Here is a 19507-nt window from a genome sequence, read left to right on the forward strand (position 1 = left end):
TCATGCCGTTCTGCCTCAGCCTCCTGACCCTGAGTAGCTGCGACTGCAGGCGCCTGCCACCATGCCTGGCTAATTTTTTTGTATTTTTTTTTTAGTAGAGACAGGATTTCACCGTGTTAGCCAGGATGGTCTCCATCTCCTGACCTTGTGATCCGCCCGCCTCAGCCTCCTAAAGTGCTGGGATTACAGGCGTGCCACGCCCAGCCTATTTAGAAGTTTTTAAAATTTTTTTCAAATATTTGAGTTTTTCCCCAGTATCTTTTGTTTTGGATTTCTGATTTAATACTGTTGTGATCACAGAGCATACTTTTTATTATTTTAATTCTCTTATATTTAAGACTTGTTTTGTGCTACAGTATATGTTTGTTTTATTTGAGGTTTGTTTTATGTGATACAATATGAACATTTGTTTTATTTGAGGTTTGTTTTATGTGATAGAATATGAACATTCCAAGTGCACTTGAGAATGTTTCTTATGCTATTATTGGGTGGAGTGTTCTATATTGTGTTAGCTCAGATTGGTTGAGGTTTTTCAAGTTTTCTCTATCTTGCTGATTTTGTTTGTGTTTATCAATTAAGAGAGGAGTATTGAAATCTTCAGTGGTAATTTTAAAAATTTAAAATTCAATCAAAGAGAATTATAATATTAAGAGGGTTGGGAGGTGTAAAGGCAATATTTAAATTTTTTTTAATTTGTGGGGAAGGGGGAAGTATTTGCTTTTTAGAATAACACAGACTTGGCATTCCAGCACCAGTCCTGCTGTTTATTACTTCAGCAACCCCTCTGAGCCTGTTTTTTTTTTTTGAGATGGCGTCTTGCTCCGCCCAGGCTGGAGTGCAGTGGCGCGATCTCTGCTCACTGCAACATCTGCCTCCCGGGTTTAAGCAATTCTTGTGCCTCAGCCTCCTGAGTAGCTGGGATTACAGGCGTGCACCACCACCATGCCTGGGTAAATTTTGTATTTTAGTAGAGATGGGGTTTTGCCACATTTGCCAGACTTGTCTTGAACTCCTGGCCTCAAGCAGTCCTCCCACCTCAGCCTCCCAAAGTGTTGGGATTACTGGCATGAGCCACACCAAATATGTATTTTAATATTTAGTCAATTTCATTTGTTAACTTTTTTAATTTTACCCTTGGCCTACACTATGGCCTTCATCTTCGTGTATCTTTTCTTATTGCTTTTGTATGCCTAATTTTTATTGACAACCTCTAAAGATCCTTGAGTATAGATTGCTGTGGTAATATTGTGAAAAAAAAATTTTTTTCCCTTGACATAAGTTTGCTCACCCTGTATTAAAGAAAAAGATAGGAATGTTGGTCAGTTGACATAATTTTGGCACCTGTAAAATTATCTCACATTACTTCAATGTCTGAAACTCTGTGTTTTCTTTTTCTTTCAGATAAACCGAGAAAACTGGTGTACAATAGAGCCATGCCCTGATGCAGCATCTCTTCTGGCTTCCAAGCAGAGCCCAGGTAAGCTGAGATTATCCATTCATTTTCTGGAGCTGCAGCCCCACTCTGGCAGATCGTTTTATTTGGAGATCTGCCCTTCCTTAGCATGTTATACAGTAAATCAGAGGAAGGGATGTATGTGATCTGGGTTTGTAGGCATTTTGTCTTACAGTTGAAGATGAACACATGTAATTACCGAATTTTGTTTTGGTAGCAACAGACATCATAGGTGGCTTTATGATTCATTCATTTGTGAAGGCATCTGTGCTGTGCATATACATATGACATAGGATTTTTAATCTGGTAAAAGTATAAATATACTGTTAACCAAACCTGAGGTTCTCAATTTTGAATGCACATTGGAATTATCTGGCTGAACAAGCTTTAAAAATATACTGATGCCTGGGTCCTACCTCCAGATATTCTGATTTAATTGGGTGGGGTGTGGCCTAGATATCAAAATCTTTATAAGCTCCTTTGATTACCCTGCTGTGTACCCAAGGTTGAGAACCATTACACTTTGGACACATGGTCAGGAATTAAGTCTTTCCTTAAGTACCTTTGAGTTATTCCTAACAACACTTGAGGGTACGATGCTCTTAAGACCTTGCTTGTTAATGACACAGCACATAGCTTGTGATTAGTTAGGATTCCCAACTTTTAAACCAGGTCCAGCCTCTAACTCTGTGTGATGTAAAGTATGTTCCCTAATGTCTGTGTGCTCCGTTGTCTCCCTCCCATCTGTAAAGTGTTAGTAGCCTGTCTCATTTTGAGGGTGTAGTACAGATGACATGATGAGTAATCCCTGTGCCTGTTCTACGACTGCTAAGTGAATACTAGTAATTTGCATTCTGAGTTTTTTTAGTCTGTTTTACCCAGCAAGCCTCTGTTTGCCTTCCCAATTTTTACTGCCCAGCTTTAAAAATTACCTAGTCTTCATTTGCAGGTCTTTTTAGAAATAGTTTACATGTAGATACCCTCCAGTAGTATTAAATTTAAAAACAAATGGTTTTGAATCCTCTAACTCCAGAGCAGTTTCCTACTGATTGTCAACTCTCTAACTTTACTACAAAGGAAATATTGAAAACAAATATGAGAAGTGTTTTTCTCTATTTTTGTCTCATTTTTTGAGAGTAGTTAAGGATATTATGCTATAGTTGTGTTCAGGGTCCAAGTTTTACAAGATTGGCCCTGTTCACAGATTTAGCTGACACTTCCCCCATGTAGCCTCCTAGAACCTTCTACTTAAACGTGTACCACTTACTACTGTGTTTTGGGTCCTTAAACTGTTTGGGGCTTTTTCTAAAAGTGTAATTAAAACCACCCAAGAGTGAGACTTTCTGCCAAGTAAAGGTTAAATGAGGTTGGTCACAGTTTGAATATTCATAGGAAGGAAAGATCTCCACACATCATAGTTTAATTTCTATATTTAGAGAAATAATTTTTGAACCCCTGGATGTTTTCCCCAGGACACAATTTTGAATTCTGTAGACCTACTGTACACCCTAACCCCAAGCATAAGCAATTTAGTCTTTTTAGAGTAATTATTGTAAAATCTCGATTTAACAGAATTGCAGATCAGAATTATGCTACTGAGCTTCAGACCTGAGATTTTGATTTTAGGCATAGTGTTTTTGTGAATCCCAGGTACTTTGTTTTGCAGGTTTCTGTATTTTACTTTATACACACTTCCTCAAGAGAGCAATAGCATTAGACCAAATAAGATATTGTCTTTTGGCCGGGCGAGGTGGCTCACGCCTGTAATCCCAACACTTGGGGAGGCCGAGGCGGGCAGATCACGAGATCAGGAGTTCAAGACCAGCCTGGCCAGTATGGTGAAACTCCCATCTCTACTAAAAATACAAAAATTAGCCGGGTGTGGTGGCACGCCTCTGTAGTCCCAGATACTCGGGAGACTGAGGCAGAAGAATCACTTGAACCTGGGAGGCGGAGGTTGCAGTGAGCCAAGATCATGCCACTGCACTCCAGCCTGGGCGACGGAGCAAGACTCCATCTCAAATAAATAAATAAATAAATAAATAAATAAATAAATAAATAAATAAATAAATAAATAAATAACGGAGTCTCGCTCTGTCGCCCAGGCTGGAATGCAGTGGCACAATCTCGGCTCACTGCAAGCTCCGCCTCCCAGGTTCACACCATTCTCCTGCCTCAGCCTTCTGAGTAGCTGGGACTACAGGTGCCTGCCACCACACCCGGCTAATTTTTTTGTATTTTCAGTAGAGATGGGGTTTCACCATATTAGCCAGGATGGTCTCAATCTCCTGACCTTGTGATCCATCCCCCTCATCCTTCCAAAGTGCTTACAAAGGGATTACAGGCATGAGCCACCGTGCCTGGCCAAGATACTGTCTTTTAAAATCACTTTGTATACTCTTCAATAATGGATAAATTACAAGATAGAATTATGATTAGTGTGACATAACAGAGCCCACCGGATTTCAGCAGTGTGTTTTCCTGCCCTTCCCCAACAACAGTTTGTTGGCATATATGTTGTTTTAAACCTAAATGACTAGATAACACCTTTTAAAAAGTTTGTATTATGTTAGCTTCTGAAAAGCTAATAGCTCAGTACACAAAAATTACAGACAGATTTACATATGGGTCATAAAATGGGACTGGCCCTACCTGTGTCCACCTTTAAGGTACTGTCATCTGGATACTTACTGAATCATACATTAAAGGTTAATGAAGCCTTAACTTCATTAGACACATATATCACACACCTGCTATGTGCTGGAAACCAGAGTTCTGGTTACTGTATGTATAAATTATTCCTGTCACTATGACTCCTTTAGGGAAGTACTAATCATCTCTTGTCACTGTTATGGAAATGGCAACTGAGAGGGGTGAAATTACTTCTTGCCTGGAATTTTTCTTCTATTAAGTAGTCAGACCTAGATTTAAGCCTGATCAGTCTAACTAAAAAACCAGAGCTCTTTACTCTTGTTTACACTTAGATATGCCGCTCCCCTTTATTCAGTAGGAAGGGGACAAATAGGAAGAAAGAAAAGATTTTATTAATTTTGAAAACTTACCAATTCATGTGACACAGGGTGTGGATTAGCTCTGCCTTTAGGGATTCCCCCCACCTCCCCCCGCCCCATGGCGTTAGGGGGTTATAATGGTTTACGGTCCCTCTCTCTCCATCTTAGCCCTTCTTTCTGTACTTTTCCCTCTTTCCCTCCTCAACAGTCAGCTTTATCTCACAGAGCAGACTCTCGTCCCAAACTTGGTTTGTTATCCCTTGTGGTGCTGGCTTGAATTTATTTTCTGGGTGAGGTATTCCTCCCAGGGCTGAATCTGGATCTTCCCCATGAATTTTCCATTCGAATATCGTGAGCTAGTTTGTTTTCCAGTCTGGAATTTGGACGTGGTCTGTTAGAGGGCCAGCTGGACAGCGAGCAGCTCAGCGTAGTTGCTGTGACAGCCCTTTCTTTTCTTGGCCAGCCCCCATATTTTTCCCTCAACCATGGAAAGGCATTTTTTTATTTTTTCAAGCAGGGAAAGGAGAAGGAATAGATCACACCCACCAACTCCTCCTAGGTTACTACATACTCTAGGAAACGTGAAAAAAAAAAAACCTCCAGAATACCCATAGTTTCCAGTCTGTTAAAGGCAGGGCTGTTCCCATTGAACTAACACACTCCAAAATAGTTTGAACCAAGACTGAAACAGACTAAGGTGATTTTTTTTTTAAATGAAAGATTTTCAGATTCATCCATGAGCCCTCTCTCACTTCCTATGGCATTTTTTTTTTTTGTAATTCTTTGTTGAAATTGTCTTCTAATATGTTCATTTCTGCTACAAGACAGTAAACTGCTTCCCCCCCAACACTAAACATTTCTTTTTATTTGGTTACTCCCCAGTATTTAGCCAGATGCTTAACTAGTAGAAAAAGTAATTTTATTGGCAGGGGATTTATGACCTATACCAATGCAATGCAATGCAGCCTTGACCCTTGCTCTAAGCTACCAGCGCAAATAATTCAGTGATTATCACTAATTACTTAACTGTTAATTAGAAGAACTATTTCTTCCCACTTTCAACACACAGAGACAACATAATTACCATCCAGGCATAAAATCTAATAATCAAAGGAGACGTTGGAAGTTATGTAGTCCAACCCTCACTTCCCTCTCTGTGCAGATACCTTTTCTGTAATATCTTGACATAGTCATTCTGTGTTCCAAAACCCTTCTGGTAAAGTGATAGTCATTACTTTATAGGCCACCCAACCTATTGCTAAGAAGCCCCGTTTTAGTGAAGCTCTGTAGCTCACACTCACTGGTCTTTGCCCCTGGAACAGTACAGAGGGAATCTGTGACAGTCTTTAGGCACATTTTCTTCAAGCTCCTCGGCAAGCTGTATGTATCTCAGACGGTTTGACTGTCGTGACCCCATTACTACGTACACATTTTTGTTTATCAGTGTTCTACTTGAGATGTTATTTAGGAACAAGTACAGTCCCGAGGGTGTGGTCTGGATGGCACATAGCGACAGGACTGTCCCCGTTTTGGATGCCCGTGTACTATTTACTAATAGAGACTAAAACTATTAGTGTTTCTTTGGTTTTGTCATCACCTTGTACTGTCAGTTCCTTTTGAATTTGCTTCCCCCAAAACCTCCAAGTAGAGTTCTCTTTAACTCCTAGATAGCCAGGTTTCTTGCCCTGTCCCTCATCATTTAGTGTCACCTACAAATTTGATAAAGCATGCCTACCTGGTTGTCCAAATAACACATTAACTTGCTTACAAAAACAGAGATGCATGACTTTTATCTTCTTTTTTTTTTTTTTTGGAAATGAAGTTGCTCTCTGTCACCTAGGCTGGAGTGCAATGGCGTGATCTTGGCTCACTGGGCTCACTGCAGTCTCCGCTTCCCGGGTTCAAGCGATTCTTCTGCCTCAGCCTCCCAAGTAGCTGGGATTACAGGCACCTGCCACCATGCCTGGCTAATTTTTTGTATTTTTAGTAGAGACGGGGTTTCACCATGTTGACCAGGCTGTTCTCGAACTCTGGCCGCAGGTGATCCGCCTGCCTCAGCCTCCCAAAGTGCTGGGATTACAGGCTTGAGCCACCATGCCCGGCCATGACTTTTATCCTTAAAACTTCTTAGGGCCAGGCCCAGTGGCTCACACCTGTAATCCCAGCACTTTGGGAGGCTGAGGCAGGTGGATCACATGGTCAGGAGATGGAGATCATCCTGGCTAACACGGTGAAACCTCATCTCTACTAAAAATACAAAAAAAAAAAAAAAAAAAAAAATTAGCCAGGCATGGTGGCACGTGCCTGTAGTCCCAGCTACTCAAGAGGCTGAAGCAGGAGAATCGCTTGAACCCAGGAGGCGGAAGTTGCAAAAACTTATTGAAGGAAGCTCATATCCACTCAGTAATGGACTTGGGTTCTTGGTTTCACCATCCACAAATCTCTTTAACCGTGTTGGTACCCAGTCACATGTCACTTTTGTTTACAAAGTTAATAGCCTGGGCAACATGCCAAAACCCCATCTTTACAAAAAATAAACTGGACTTGGTGGCGTGTGCCTGCATTCTCAGCTACTTGGGAGGCTAAGGTGTGAGGATTGCTTGAGCCCAGGAGGTGGAGGTTGAAGTGAGCTGAGATCATGTCACCGTAGTACAGCCTGAGCAACAGAACGAGAACTTGTCTCAAAATAAACAACACAAAACAGAAAAGCAAAGTTAATAAGAGAGAATACCTTGCTTATTTCAAGCTACTAAGTTTTTAGGCTTCCTCAATGTACAAAGGTAGTATTTCTGTCACAGACCCCTCCCTCTAGCTTGCCAGGGTCCCTGTTCTAGTTATTGAACCGAAAACATTCTAAATGATAAATTTTTCCACTTTGGCATATTATGCCCCCAATTTAAGAGCTATTTATGGTAAGAAAAGTTAAATTATATTTCTGTTATTACTCAGTAGAACCTATAAGTTTAAAACAAACCCCATCACATAGTTGCTAGTAAAAGACTTTGGATTTTGAAGACAAAAGAAAAAAAATGCCCTCACTACCATGAGGAAAGCATTACCATTCAGGTATCTAAATAGAAGTAGAATATGCTTCTAAATCATCCTTTTATCTTTCTGTACCTAATATAAACGTGGCAGATGCATGATTGTCCTGTAGGAGCTATTTCAACCTAGAATTGGAGTAGCAGAGCTACTAATTTGACTGTGTCCTTTTATAGCTTCTTAATTTTGAAAAAAAGAAATAAGGAGGGAAGGAAGAGAAAAGAGTGAGAGAGAGATTTAAAAGACTGGTTGCTGGGGTGAAAAGGAAGTGGTTCTTTTTGTTTTTTGGTTTTTTTGTTTTTTTTTTTTCAATATTGGTGAATAAATTCTCTTTTTCAGAATGTGAGAACTTCCTGGATGTTGGACTGGGCAGAGAGTGTACCTCAAAACAAGGTGTACTTAAAAGAGAATCTGGGAGTGATTCTGACCTCTTTCACTCACCCAGTGATGACATGGACAGCATCATCTTCCCAAAGGTACTGTGTGGACCTTCCTTTCATTTTTGTCACACGGCTTTTGTGTTCCTATTTGGGCTTCCCAAACTCTTTTCCAACTTTTTCCCCCTCTTGTGCTCTCCTGTTTCCCTAAATATGTAACTCCTGCTAGTAAGTTGTGATCCAGCTAGCCTTGTAGGGCCTCACTCACTCTGAGAGGCATGTAAATGTTCTTTGGAGAAGGAAGCGCCAGATTACCAGGGTTTAGAAAAAGGCACTGGGCTGGGCATGGTGGCTCACGCCTGTAATCCCAACACTTTGGGAGGCTGAGGTGGGCGGACCCCTTGAGGTCAGGAGTTCGAGACCAGCCTGGCCAACATGGTGAAACCCCATCTCTACTAAAAATATAAAAATTAGCTGGACGTGCTCACTTGAACCCAGGAGGTGGAGGTTGCAGTGAGTCAAGTTCGCGCCACTAAACTCTAGCCTGGGTGGCAGAGCGAGACTCTGTCTCCAAAAACAAAAAAAAGGGAAAGAAAAAAGCATTGGCCAAAGTTATTTAATGTGAAATTGTGGCCAGTTAAATACAGATTTTGAAGCTCACTTGGGAGTCAGAAGAAATGGAAGTTCCTTTAGAATTAATTAAGTCAGATGACAGTGAACACTTCTCAGTGGGCAGCAAGGACCGCAGCTCAGACTATATGATGTCATATTTATAAACCAGCTGTAGAGTCATTTCTGGTTAATGTGTTTAGGCCTGAAGCTTCCTGCTGAGTGTGGTCATATCACTCATCCTCATCTAGCCTGCCTAATTGGAACTTTCTAGATCTCTGCAATAGAGCCCTTCCACATGAATCAGCTCACATTTGCATATAATTGGAGGCTGCCTAAGGGAGGTGGGGAATGGGGGTAGTTTGCTTTCTTTTGCTTATATTTGTTTCTAGTGGCAGCAAGTTCTGTTTTGCTCACCTGAGAAGAATAGAGGGCTTTCCCCACAGCAGAGATGGCAAATGCTACTCAATTATATGCCACAAGTGGTTTTCTTAATGGTAAGGAGGTGAAGAGGCGGAAACACTGTTGCATCTACCAACACGGTTCCTTCTAGTTTTATAATGAGCTCGGAGAAGTGGTGAGAGCAGTTGTGTTAGTGGGTGATTAGGTTGTCCAAGATGGTGAATGATGCTGTGTAGAAGTTACAAGAATAGGCCGGGTGTGGTGGCTCATGCATGTAATCCCAGCACTTTGGGAGGCCAAGGCGGGTAGATCACTTGAGGTCAGGAGTTCGAGACCAGCCTGGAAATGGTGAAAACCCGTCTCTACTAAAAATACAAAAAAATTAGCTGGGCATGGTGGCGCGTGCCTGTAACCTCAGCTACTCTGGAGGCTGAAGCAGGAGAATTGCTTGAACCCAGGAGGTGAAGGCTGAAGTGAGCTGAGATCACACCACTGCACTGCAGCCTGGGCAACAGGAGTGAAACTCCATCTCAAAAGTAAAAATAAAATAAAATAGAAGTTACAAGAAAAGAGACCTAAAGATTTGGGAATCAGGAGCATATCAGTGCCTCTGTGAATGTACCCTGTGTGCCTTCCTTTCATTTTTGGCCTTCCCTGACTTTTTTTTTTTTGAACTCATTGTCTTCCCAAGGTCTTTGGAAAGACTTATTTAATATGATGCAAACTTAAGGATTTCTATCATTGTCACTCATAGTGACTTGACAAAAAATTCTATGAAGTAAAAACTCCACATTTAGGACCGGGCGCAATGGCTCACGCCTGTAATCCCAGTACTTTGGGAGGCTGAGGCGGGCTGATCATGAGGTCAGGAGATCGAGACCATCCTGGCTAACACGGTGAAACCCCATCTCTACTAAAAATAGTGGTGGCGGGCACCTGTAGTCCCAGCTACTCGGGAGGCTGAGGCAGGAGAATGGCGTGAACCCGGGAGGCGGAGCTTGCAGTGAGCCGAGATTGTGCCACTGCACTCCAGCCTGGGCGACAGAGCGAGACTCCATCTCAAAAAAACAAAAAACAAAACAAAAAAAACTCCACATTTAGAAGATCTGCCTTTCTCTTTACTTAGGAAAAGAGAAATCAATAGTTTTATGTTATTTTATTTTTTTTTTAATAATATCAGAATTTAGGTAATTTCCACTGCGACTTTCGAGGTTTTAATTGTAAGGAATTCTGTTCCCCGCAAGGGGAATACCATTCTGAAGATATGTGTCGCTAAAAACATACTGAGATAAACAGATTAGATAGTATCTCTAAGTTCCAGCTTTAAAATGGGATCATTGATAATCATTGAAACTAGGTCATGGATATACAGAGATTTGTTAAACATTTATATATGTTTGAAAATTTTAACGTAAAAAGTTTTTTAAAAATGGAAGTGTCTTTGTTAAGAAATACTTCCTTGCAACCTCCTAGGTGCATGACAGCTTGTGCCTGGATGTTACCATCTCTGCAGACTCAGAGTTACTTCTGGTCACTTAATTGAATGGTTTTCTTAGCTAAGGAGAATTAGAATTTTCTATATTTCGCCGTCTTATTTTCCCAGAACCATTTACAAAATTGCTCATATAAATGGCCTGTGCTAGATTTGGAAGATTTTTTTTTTCAAGAATATTAGACATATAATTTTTAAAAGTTGAAGGAGGCCAGGCGTGGTGGATCTTAGCATTTTGGGAGGCTAAGGCAGGAGGATCACTTGAGTCAAGGAGTTTGAGATCAGCCTGGGCCAATATAATGGGACCTTGTCTCTACAAAAAATACCAAAATTAGCCAGACATGGTGGTGCACACCTGTGGTCCCAGCTATTCAGGAGGCTGAGGTGGGAAGATCACTTAAGTGTAGGAGGTTAACGCTGCAGTGAGCCGTGATGGCACCACTGCACTCCAGCCTGGGCGACAGAGCAAGACCCTGTCTCAAAAATAAATAAATAAATAACACCTACATTTTATACTAGACTGCTTAGGGAAAACCAGAAATGGTAGCTTCACTTTCACCTCCTCATGCATGCTTGAGAATGTCTGCATGGCCTGAGAAGAGATGGGGAGGATTTTTCTCTTAGTGTTTTTGCTGTACCAAAGTAGCCTGTGACCAGGAGAGGCTTTGCAATAAATGTTTGCTCTAGCATTAATAAAACCAAGGGCTGACTTACAAAAAGGAGAGAGACTAATATTGACAGGATACTTACTGTACAGTAGGTACTGAACTAAATTTTTAAAATATTTGATCTCAATTTGTCTGCCCAGCAACCCTGACAAGTGGGTGGTTTTATGCTCTTGAGGAAATAGAGGCACTGATAGGTAAAGAAATGTATCCAGAATTACTTAGTGGGTGAGCAGCCAACTTGAGGTTTGCATCTAGGCCTGACTCTAAAATCTGTTCATTTTTTATTTTACTCTCAACCTCCCCAAACCTGCTCTAATAGCCAGTGATTAAATAAAAGCGTGGCACTGGCAGATAGGCCATCAGCTGCTTCCTTAAAAGTCTTCCTCAGTGGTCACCCCCAGAGTGTGCTATGCAAAATATCAGAATGTCTTGCAGTTTGTTCCCAGGTTCTAACCCTCTTCTCCATCTCTAAAAAATAATCTGTAGGCGAGACATTGCAACATCTTTTTCTGTGAACCATGAGTGGTACATGAGGTCACTTCCTGCAGCCATTTGTGTCTCTGGCCTCACAGAGGTCTTTAACAGCCCGTAACGTTTGTCGTGACCTTTTCACCTTAACCCTGTCTTTCCATTCAGTATGCCTCCTGGTAAATGACTCTTTAGTGAGTGTTATGAGCTTCACGTTTATTCTCATGAATATGTGTGGGTTCCTAAGGTCTTTAATCAATAGCATAAAATTTAGATTTTATTTTTAAAGTGAAAAGAAATCCTAGGATTCTTTTTGGCACTAGCTAAGAGAGAAAGTACGATTATAAAATATACATGATCTAGGCCACTCTACTATCCAAAAGGATAATTAAAGTCTACAGGAAATATTAATAGTTGCTGCCTGTCTTCCCAAAGAGAGGTAAATCAAGGTCCTTCCATGTTATTTTTCTTCCCCAGGTTAGCAGATGTATCTACAATTGATTTAAAAAAATCAGAATGACTTATATAAGATACAAAACCTAAAGGGAACATCCTTCTTTCATGTGTTGTAGTTTTTCTCAGGTCCTTGATCCCCAAGCCAAAAAATTACTTAAAAAAAAACAATAAACCTTTTTGAGATAAAAATAAATGTAAGCCAGGCATGCTGGTTCACACTTGTAATCCCAACACTTCGGGAGGCTGAAGTGGGAGGACTGCTTGAGTCCAGGAGATTGACACCAGCCTGGGCAACATAGTGAGAACCTGTCTCCAGTAAAAAATTTAAAAATTAGCCAGGCATGGTGGCACACGTCTGTAGTCCCAGCTACTTGGGAGGCAGAGGCGAGAGGATCACTTGAGCCTTGAAGTTCAAGGCTGCAATGAGCTGTGATTGTGCAACTGCACTCCAGCCTGGGCAACAGAGGGAGATGCTGTCTTAAAAATAAATAAAAGTAAATGTATTTACAGAATCCTAATTAAGAAAATGACAATTGCGGCTGGGCGTGGTGGCTCATGCCTTTGAGAGGCCGAGGCAGGCGGATCACTGGAGGTCAGGAGTTCGAGACCAGCCTGGCCAACATGGTGAAACCCCATCTCTATTAAAAATACAAAAATTAGCTGGGCGTGGTGGCAGGCGCCTGTAATCCCAGCTACTCAGGAGGCTGAGGCAGGAGAATCATTCGAACCTGGGAGGTGGAGGTTGCAGTGAGCTGAGATTGTGCCACCATACTCCAGCCTGGGCAACAGAGTGAGACTCCATCTCAAAAAAAAAAAAAAAAAAAAAAAAAAAAAAAAAAACAACAAAAACTGCAATTGCCTGTGCACAAGTGCTGAAATTATTAAAAACTTAAAACTGTGAACCAGTGGTAATGCTTGTAATCAGGTACTTTTCTTAAAATATTGAACATAAATGGATTAAATGGTTGGCATGTGTTAGGTGTTTAAAATGTGAGCCATTATTTTCCAAGGCACATAGTAGAGTGCCTTGTGTATCATTACAAATAATAATAATAAATGTTTGGGAATAAATGGAGATTAAAGGACTAGTATTTTGGCAATATTAAGCATGATTTCTTCAAGTATAGTAATAAGATATAAAGTATGCAGCAGTTTTGTAATTTTATGTTTATAATGTTTATACCTCTGTATATACTTACGTATCCATACCTGTATAATGTAACTCTGGCTAAGAAAGCCAATCAGGCATTTTTCCCAACATTTTATTAAGAATATATTGAGGCATATAGAAAATTTGGAGAATTGTACAGTGAACACCCGTATACCCACTACTTAGATCCTACAATTAACTTTTAATTGTATTTGCTCTATTATGTAACTATATATCTGTCCATCCTTCTGTCCACCCAGTTTGCCTGAATTCTTTGAGGCAAGTTACAAATATCGATATACTTCACCTCTGAACACTTAGAATTCAGTATTTGTTTATAGGTTGGTTGGGTTTTTCGGTGAAGTTTACATACAGTGAAATGTACAATCTTGAGGGTACCAGTCAGTGACTTTTTAAAAAAAAATTTAATGACTGCTTCACGAATGTGTGCATCATCCTTGCACAGAGGCCATGCTAATCGTCTGTGCATTGTTCCGATTTTAGTGTATGTGCTACTGAAGTGAGCACCCATCAGTGACTTTTGATAGAAGCCTTCATTCACGTTTGTACGCAGCCTGCAGCAGGGTACAGACTATAAGCATCACTTTGGAGTTGCCTCATGTCTCTTCTCAGTCGGTCTCCATTCACACCCTCTCAAGGCAACAGCTGTCTTAACTGTTTTCCCACCGCAGATTAGTTTTCTGTTTCAGAACTTCGTATAAATGGAATCTAAATAATATCATTTCTCTTGAGAAATACCTAGGATTCGAATTCTTAGATTATATGGTAGGTATAGGTTTAGTTTGCTAAGAAACGGATCTTTTCCCAAGCGGTTGTACCATTTTACATTTTCACCAGTGATGTTTTGTTTTCCTTTTTCAAGTAATAACCACCAATTCATAGTAAGAGCTGCATACTGCAGTAAAAATAATGAGTATAAGAATATTATTCTGTGTGAACTTTATTCTTACCAGATATGCAAGACTGTAGAAATCATGTAGTTTCAGTGAGATCAGAGTTAAAAGCACATATTAGGAAGAAAGGCTTTGTGTTGAGAATATATTCTAGACAGATCTCTTTGTTTTTAAAATGTGTATAAACAGGCCACCAAAGATTTTCCCACCTTATTTTAATGACTCTCAAAAGGGTAGATGGTTGTTTTATAAACTTCAGATTCGTTAAGTGCCAGAGAGATAGCAGGCCTTTTTTTCAAGGCAAAATCCTTCCAAGATTGGATGCCAGAGTGAAGAAGCACCTATATAACTGTCTGTGAGTTGTTTCCAAACTGAGAAGAGCTAACTTGTAAGAAGGCTATATGGTAAATTAATAAATGGAAACTTTAACTCAAAATTTTTGTTTGCCTTGAAGTCTTTTTTGTGTGTTTTAGAACAGGCTTGTTATACATTTTGCTTTATTGGTGTTCATTCTGTTTGTCCCTTGGTATTATTTTGAGAATTAGACATTTAGGCAGCTAAGCGTGAGTATATTAGCTTCCTAGGGCTGCTGTAACAAATTACTGGAAGCTGGGCGGCTGAAAACAACAGGAACTTACTTGGTCCCAGTTCTGGAGGCTGGAGATCCTAATCACCGTGTCAGTGGGGCTGCTTTCCTTCTGTAGGCTCTGAGAGAAAATGGCCTCTCTTCTAGTCTCTGGTGCTTGTTCAGTCCTTGGTGTTCCTTGGGTTGTAGACACTGCACTCCAATCTCTCCTCTGCCTTCACGTGGTATTCTCTCCTGTGTGTCTTTTTGTGTCTCTTCTCCTCTTGCAGGGACACCATTTGTGTTGGGATCTGGGGACATTTTGGATCCACCCTACTCCAGTATAACCTCATCTTAACTAATTACATCTGCAAAGACCCTCTTTCCAAATAAGCTCACATTCTGAGAAGGACCTGTATCTGAGGAGGACATTATTCAACCCAGTACAGTGAGAAAGCCGAGATATTCACGAGACCATTTACATTGTCCTTGTCCATGGAAAGTTGCCCCGTGAATAGGACCCCTTTAGGAAACCCCTGAGTCCCTCACTCAGAAAGCATAGTCAGTTATTTCATTTTAAAATAATACCTACCACAATTTAGAATTTACTCAGTGAACCATAGTTTTATTTTACAGAGTGACCCAGTGAAGGGACTTTTCTGATACTGACTTTGATATCTTGTTCTTACAGGGTTTTTTAAAAAGATGATTGAGATACCAGAATAGGGCAATTTGAGTTGAAATCAGCCTGGGTTCAAATCTTGATTCTGCTGCTCATGCCTGCGTCCGTTGGAAAATCTGGACCTCAGTTTGACCTGTCCAGTGATCCCCTTGCATCTTTTCTCTCATTCCCATACATTACTTAAAAAACAATCTAGGAAACTGGATTCCACGGAACTGGAAAAAGAAAGCCTTCTTATTAGCTTATGAGATCAAGCCCAAAAGGTAGGAAGGGTGCTTTTAGAAGGTAGTGTGCTTTTGAACTATTACATCAAACCTTTAAAAAGAGTCTCCTTATAGTATAGAGATATAGAGCTTGTTTTCTATTCCAAAGCTGAAAGATTTTCATAATTTTTTTCTCTTTCTTGAAGAACCATAATTTTTTTTTACCCTTAATTAAAACATTGAGTAGACTAATTTGGAAAATATTGTGAAAAAGGGAAAAAGAATTACAAAATGCCCTTCCCTGTTCCCTGCCCCCATCCCGTAAGAGTGCAAAATAGCTATTAAGACAGTGTCCACATCTTAAGAGTATGATCAAACATCTCTTAGACACTTCTTTTGGCCTTTTGGGTACCATGAAGCTCATCTTTCCCTCACCCATCAAATTCTGTGTTCTGGTATCTCCTTCCCTCGCTCCCTCTCAGGTTCAAGAGATTTTCCTTCCTCAGCCTCCCCAGTAGCTGGGATTACAGGCATGAGCCACTGCGCCCAGCCACTGGTATGTTTCAACAAGTAGAAAATGTCAGGCTACTAGAACAGAGTTACACAGAACCTGTTAGGCACTAGAGGTTAGCCAGGAAAGAGCATCATCACTTTATCAAAGACCTCATTGCCAGGACTGATTATTTAATGTATGATTTGGCCTCATAATACTCAGCCAGTTCTCAGTGAAATGAGAAAAATGTATAGCTTTCTTCCATTTAGATATTTGTAACAGGTACTTATGCATTTGTGGCAAACTTTAGGTGGGGTCATAAGCTATTCCACATTTTTCAGAAGGCCACTAAAAACAACCACAGACTTCCTTTTGGAATATTAATTTCAGCATATTATTATTGTAGCCAAGCAGACTGTTTTGTTTTCAGTTAAAGCTTATAAAAAATAATTAAACCTAACACATGATAAATTTTGTTTTCATATACAAAAAACCCAGAGACAGATGGATTCCCTTCATTGCAGTTGGTGATATTTACTGAAAGAACTAACATAAATTTGATATTTTTCCTCTTGAAGAAAAAAATGGGCTGGTCACGGTGGCTCAAACCTGTAATCCCAGCACTTTGGGAAGCCAAGGCAAGAGGATCCCAGGAGTTGAAGACCATCCTGGGCAACATGGTGAAACCCTGTGTCTAAAAGAAATACACACAAAAAATTAGCTCAGCATGCTGGCACATGCTTGTAGTTCCAGCCACTCGGGAGGCTGAGGTGGGAGGATCACTTGGGCCCAGGAGGTCAAGGCTGCAGTGAGCCATAATTTCACCACTGCACCCCAGCCTGGGTGACAGAGTGAGACCCTGTCTCAAATTGGAAAAAAAAGAAAAGAAAGAAAAAATGATGTACTTCTAGTGTAGTACCTCTAGTAAGAGGATAAAAAGAGGATAGACCTAGGCCAGGCGCAGTGGCTCACGCCTGTAATCCCACCATTTTGGGAGGCTGAGGTGGGTCGATCATTTGAAGTTAGGCGTTACAGACCAGCCTGGCCAGCATGGTGAAACCCTGTCTGTACTAAAAATACAAAAATTAGCCAGGCGTAGTGGTGCATGCCTGTAATCCCAGCTACTTGGGAGGCCGAGGCAGGATAATCTCTTGAATCCAGGAGGCGGAGGTTGTGGTGAGCTAAGATGGAGCCACTGTACTCCAGCCTGGGCGACAGAGTGAGACTGTCTCAAAAACAAACAAAAAAAAGAGGATAGATCTAGACTGTTTCTCTTCTAGAGTCCAGGGGGGATTTGAATCCAATTGTGATCATCCTATTAAAAAAACAAGTCTCTGAGGCCAATTATGATCTTACCTGCCTGGAATCCACTGAGAAGCCATTGGCTTGATCTAGAATAACTGAGGCTATCTGATTGGCCCTGCTGGCTTCAACCATATGTGCTTTCTCTCCATTACAGCCAGAGGAAGAGCATTTGGCCTGTGATATCACCGGATCCAGTTCATCCACCGATGACACGGCTTCACTGGACCGACATTCTTCTCATGGCAGTGATGTGTCTCTCTCCCAGATTTTAAAGCCAAACAGGTCAAGAGATCGGCAAAGCCTTGATGGATTCTACAGCCATGGGATGGGAGCTGAGGGTCGAGAAAGTGAGAGTGAGCCTGCTGACCCAGGCGACGTGGAGGAGGAGGAGATGGACAGTATCACTGAAGTGCCTGCAAACTGCTCTGTCCTAAGGAGCTCCATGCGCTCTCTTTCTCCCTTCCGGAGGCACAGCTGGGGGCCTGGGAAAAATGCAGCCAGCGATGCAGAAATGAACCACCGGAGGTGAGATGGGAGGCGGTTTGTTTAGTGTCTCAGTGTCTGCTTGCTTTTGAGAAGCTTCTGATTTGTATTATTGTTGGTAAAAGAATTTAGGAGACCCCATAGTATAGAAGAAAGAATATAGGCTTTGGAATCAGGAAAATCTGTGTTCAGACCCCAGCTCCAAAATTTACTATGTAGATGACCTTGGGCAAGTCACCTGACCCCTCTAAGCTTTAATATTCTCATCTGTAAAATACCTTCATTATTATTTTTAATAATACAATGAAATGTGATTGTCATATAATGAGTGTTTAGTAAATGGGAATGTTTATTCTTACCACATTAATGAAACTTATGAATGAGAAAATATTGGAGGCAGTAGTTTCATGTCAACTTTGAATTAAGAAACAAACATGAAGTCTTACAGTCTTAACACATCAAAGTCTTTCAGAGTATTTTCTGAGAATTAAAACCATCTGTTTCTAATACAGAAAGTTTTGATAAAGTCTAAATTATCATTGTTTAACCCTCAAGAGGATATAAGACTCATTACATTCATTTTACATTCATTACATACCATTAAATTGTTGGGATTTTCCCATGTGGGAACTTGTATTAAGTGTGACCCAGTATCAGTCCTTCAATTTGGAAGCAGGCTATATGAAGGTATGTCGAATTTGACTTCTTTTTTTTTTCCTGAGATGGAGTCTCGCTCTGTCACCCAGGCTGGAGTGCAGCGGCGCAATCTCGGCTCCCTGCAAGCTCTGCCTCCCGGGTTCACTCCATTCTCCTGCCTCAGTCTCCCAAGTAGCTGGGACTACAGGCGCCCGCCACCACGCCTGGCTAATTTTTTTTGTATTTTTAGTAGAGACAGGGTTTCACTGTGTTAGCCAGGATGGTCTCGATCTCCTGACCTTGTGATCCACCCGCCTCGGCCTCCCAAAGTGCTGGGATCACAGGCGTGAGCCAGCGCGCCTGGCCTGAATTTGACTTCTGACTGCTGGCTGGCTAGACAAATGTAAGCAGATGGTTTTAGCTTTAAAGAATGAGTATGGTAGTGCCTACTATATTTACAAGAGTGTGCTTATTCCAAAGCTACTTTGCTAATAAGTAAAACAGATAAGGGATGAGGCTGACAGTTGTTTTAAAACAATTGATGTAATCTCATGAGCCCAGGAGTTTGAGACCAGCCTATGCAACATAGGAGACCCCATCTCTACAAAAAAGAAAACAGCCGCGCATGGTAGTACATGCCTGTGGTCCCAGCTACTCGAGAGGATGAGATGGGAGGATTGCTTCAGCCCAGAAGTTCGAGGCTGCAGTGAGCCATGATCATACCACTGCACTCCAGTCTGGGCAACAGTGAGACCCTGTCTCAAAATAATAATAATAATAGTAGTAATAATAATAATTGATGTAAACAGCTCAGCAATAGCAATTATTTGCTCAAATTTCTCAACCTCCTGATAATATTATGGCTGTGTAATCACATTCATTCACTTATTTATTCAGCCAACATATATTGAACACTCACTATGTGCCAGACTCTGCTCTAGGTTCTGGAGATAGGTAAACAAGACAAAGTCCCTGCCTGCATGGAGCTCACAGTAATACCTTCTTACACTTTCCTAATTTGCTAATCTTTTCAGACTCTCTTTATAACACATTTCTGATATAATTTTTCAGTCCTCTCCATGAGTCGAGTGGTATTAT

At 40.9% G+C, this 19507-nt stretch overlaps 1 protein-coding gene and 1 pseudogene across 3 annotated transcripts in view, besides 1 other annotated feature; one reads left to right on the forward strand and one right to left on the reverse strand.

Moving 5' to 3' along the window:
• The window catches only part of AKAP13 (A-kinase anchoring protein 13), a 368756-nt gene that overhangs the window by 257370 nt on the left and 91879 nt on the right, over window positions 1-19507 (forward strand). For all 3 annotated transcript variants that reach the window (NM_007200.5, NM_006738.6, NM_001270546.1), the window contains 3 exons: window positions 1402-1477; window positions 7846-7982; window positions 17445-17815. In NM_007200.5, coding sequence (NP_009131.2) covers window positions 1402-1477; window positions 7846-7982; window positions 17445-17815 — 584 coding nt within the window. The remainder of the gene's footprint in view (window positions 1-1401; window positions 1478-7845; window positions 7983-17444; window positions 17816-19507) is intronic.
• Window positions 13550-13656, reverse strand: RNU6-1280P (RNA, U6 small nuclear 1280, pseudogene; annotated as a pseudogene).
• Window positions 14526-14820: a silencer, noted in NCBI's record as "tiled region #7683; K562 Repressive non-DNase unmatched - State 22:ReprW". NCBI's record gives its function as "represses a minimal TATA promoter and a strong SV40 promoter by Sharpr-MPRA in K562 cells {active_cell/tissue: K562}" and the evidence as "EXISTENCE:reporter gene assay evidence [ECO:0000049][PMID:27701403]".

The sequence above is a fragment of the Homo sapiens genome, chromosome 15 (assembly GCF_000001405.40).
Source record: "Homo sapiens chromosome 15, GRCh38.p14 Primary Assembly".
Taxonomy (NCBI): Eukaryota; Metazoa; Chordata; class Mammalia; order Primates; family Hominidae; genus Homo; species Homo sapiens.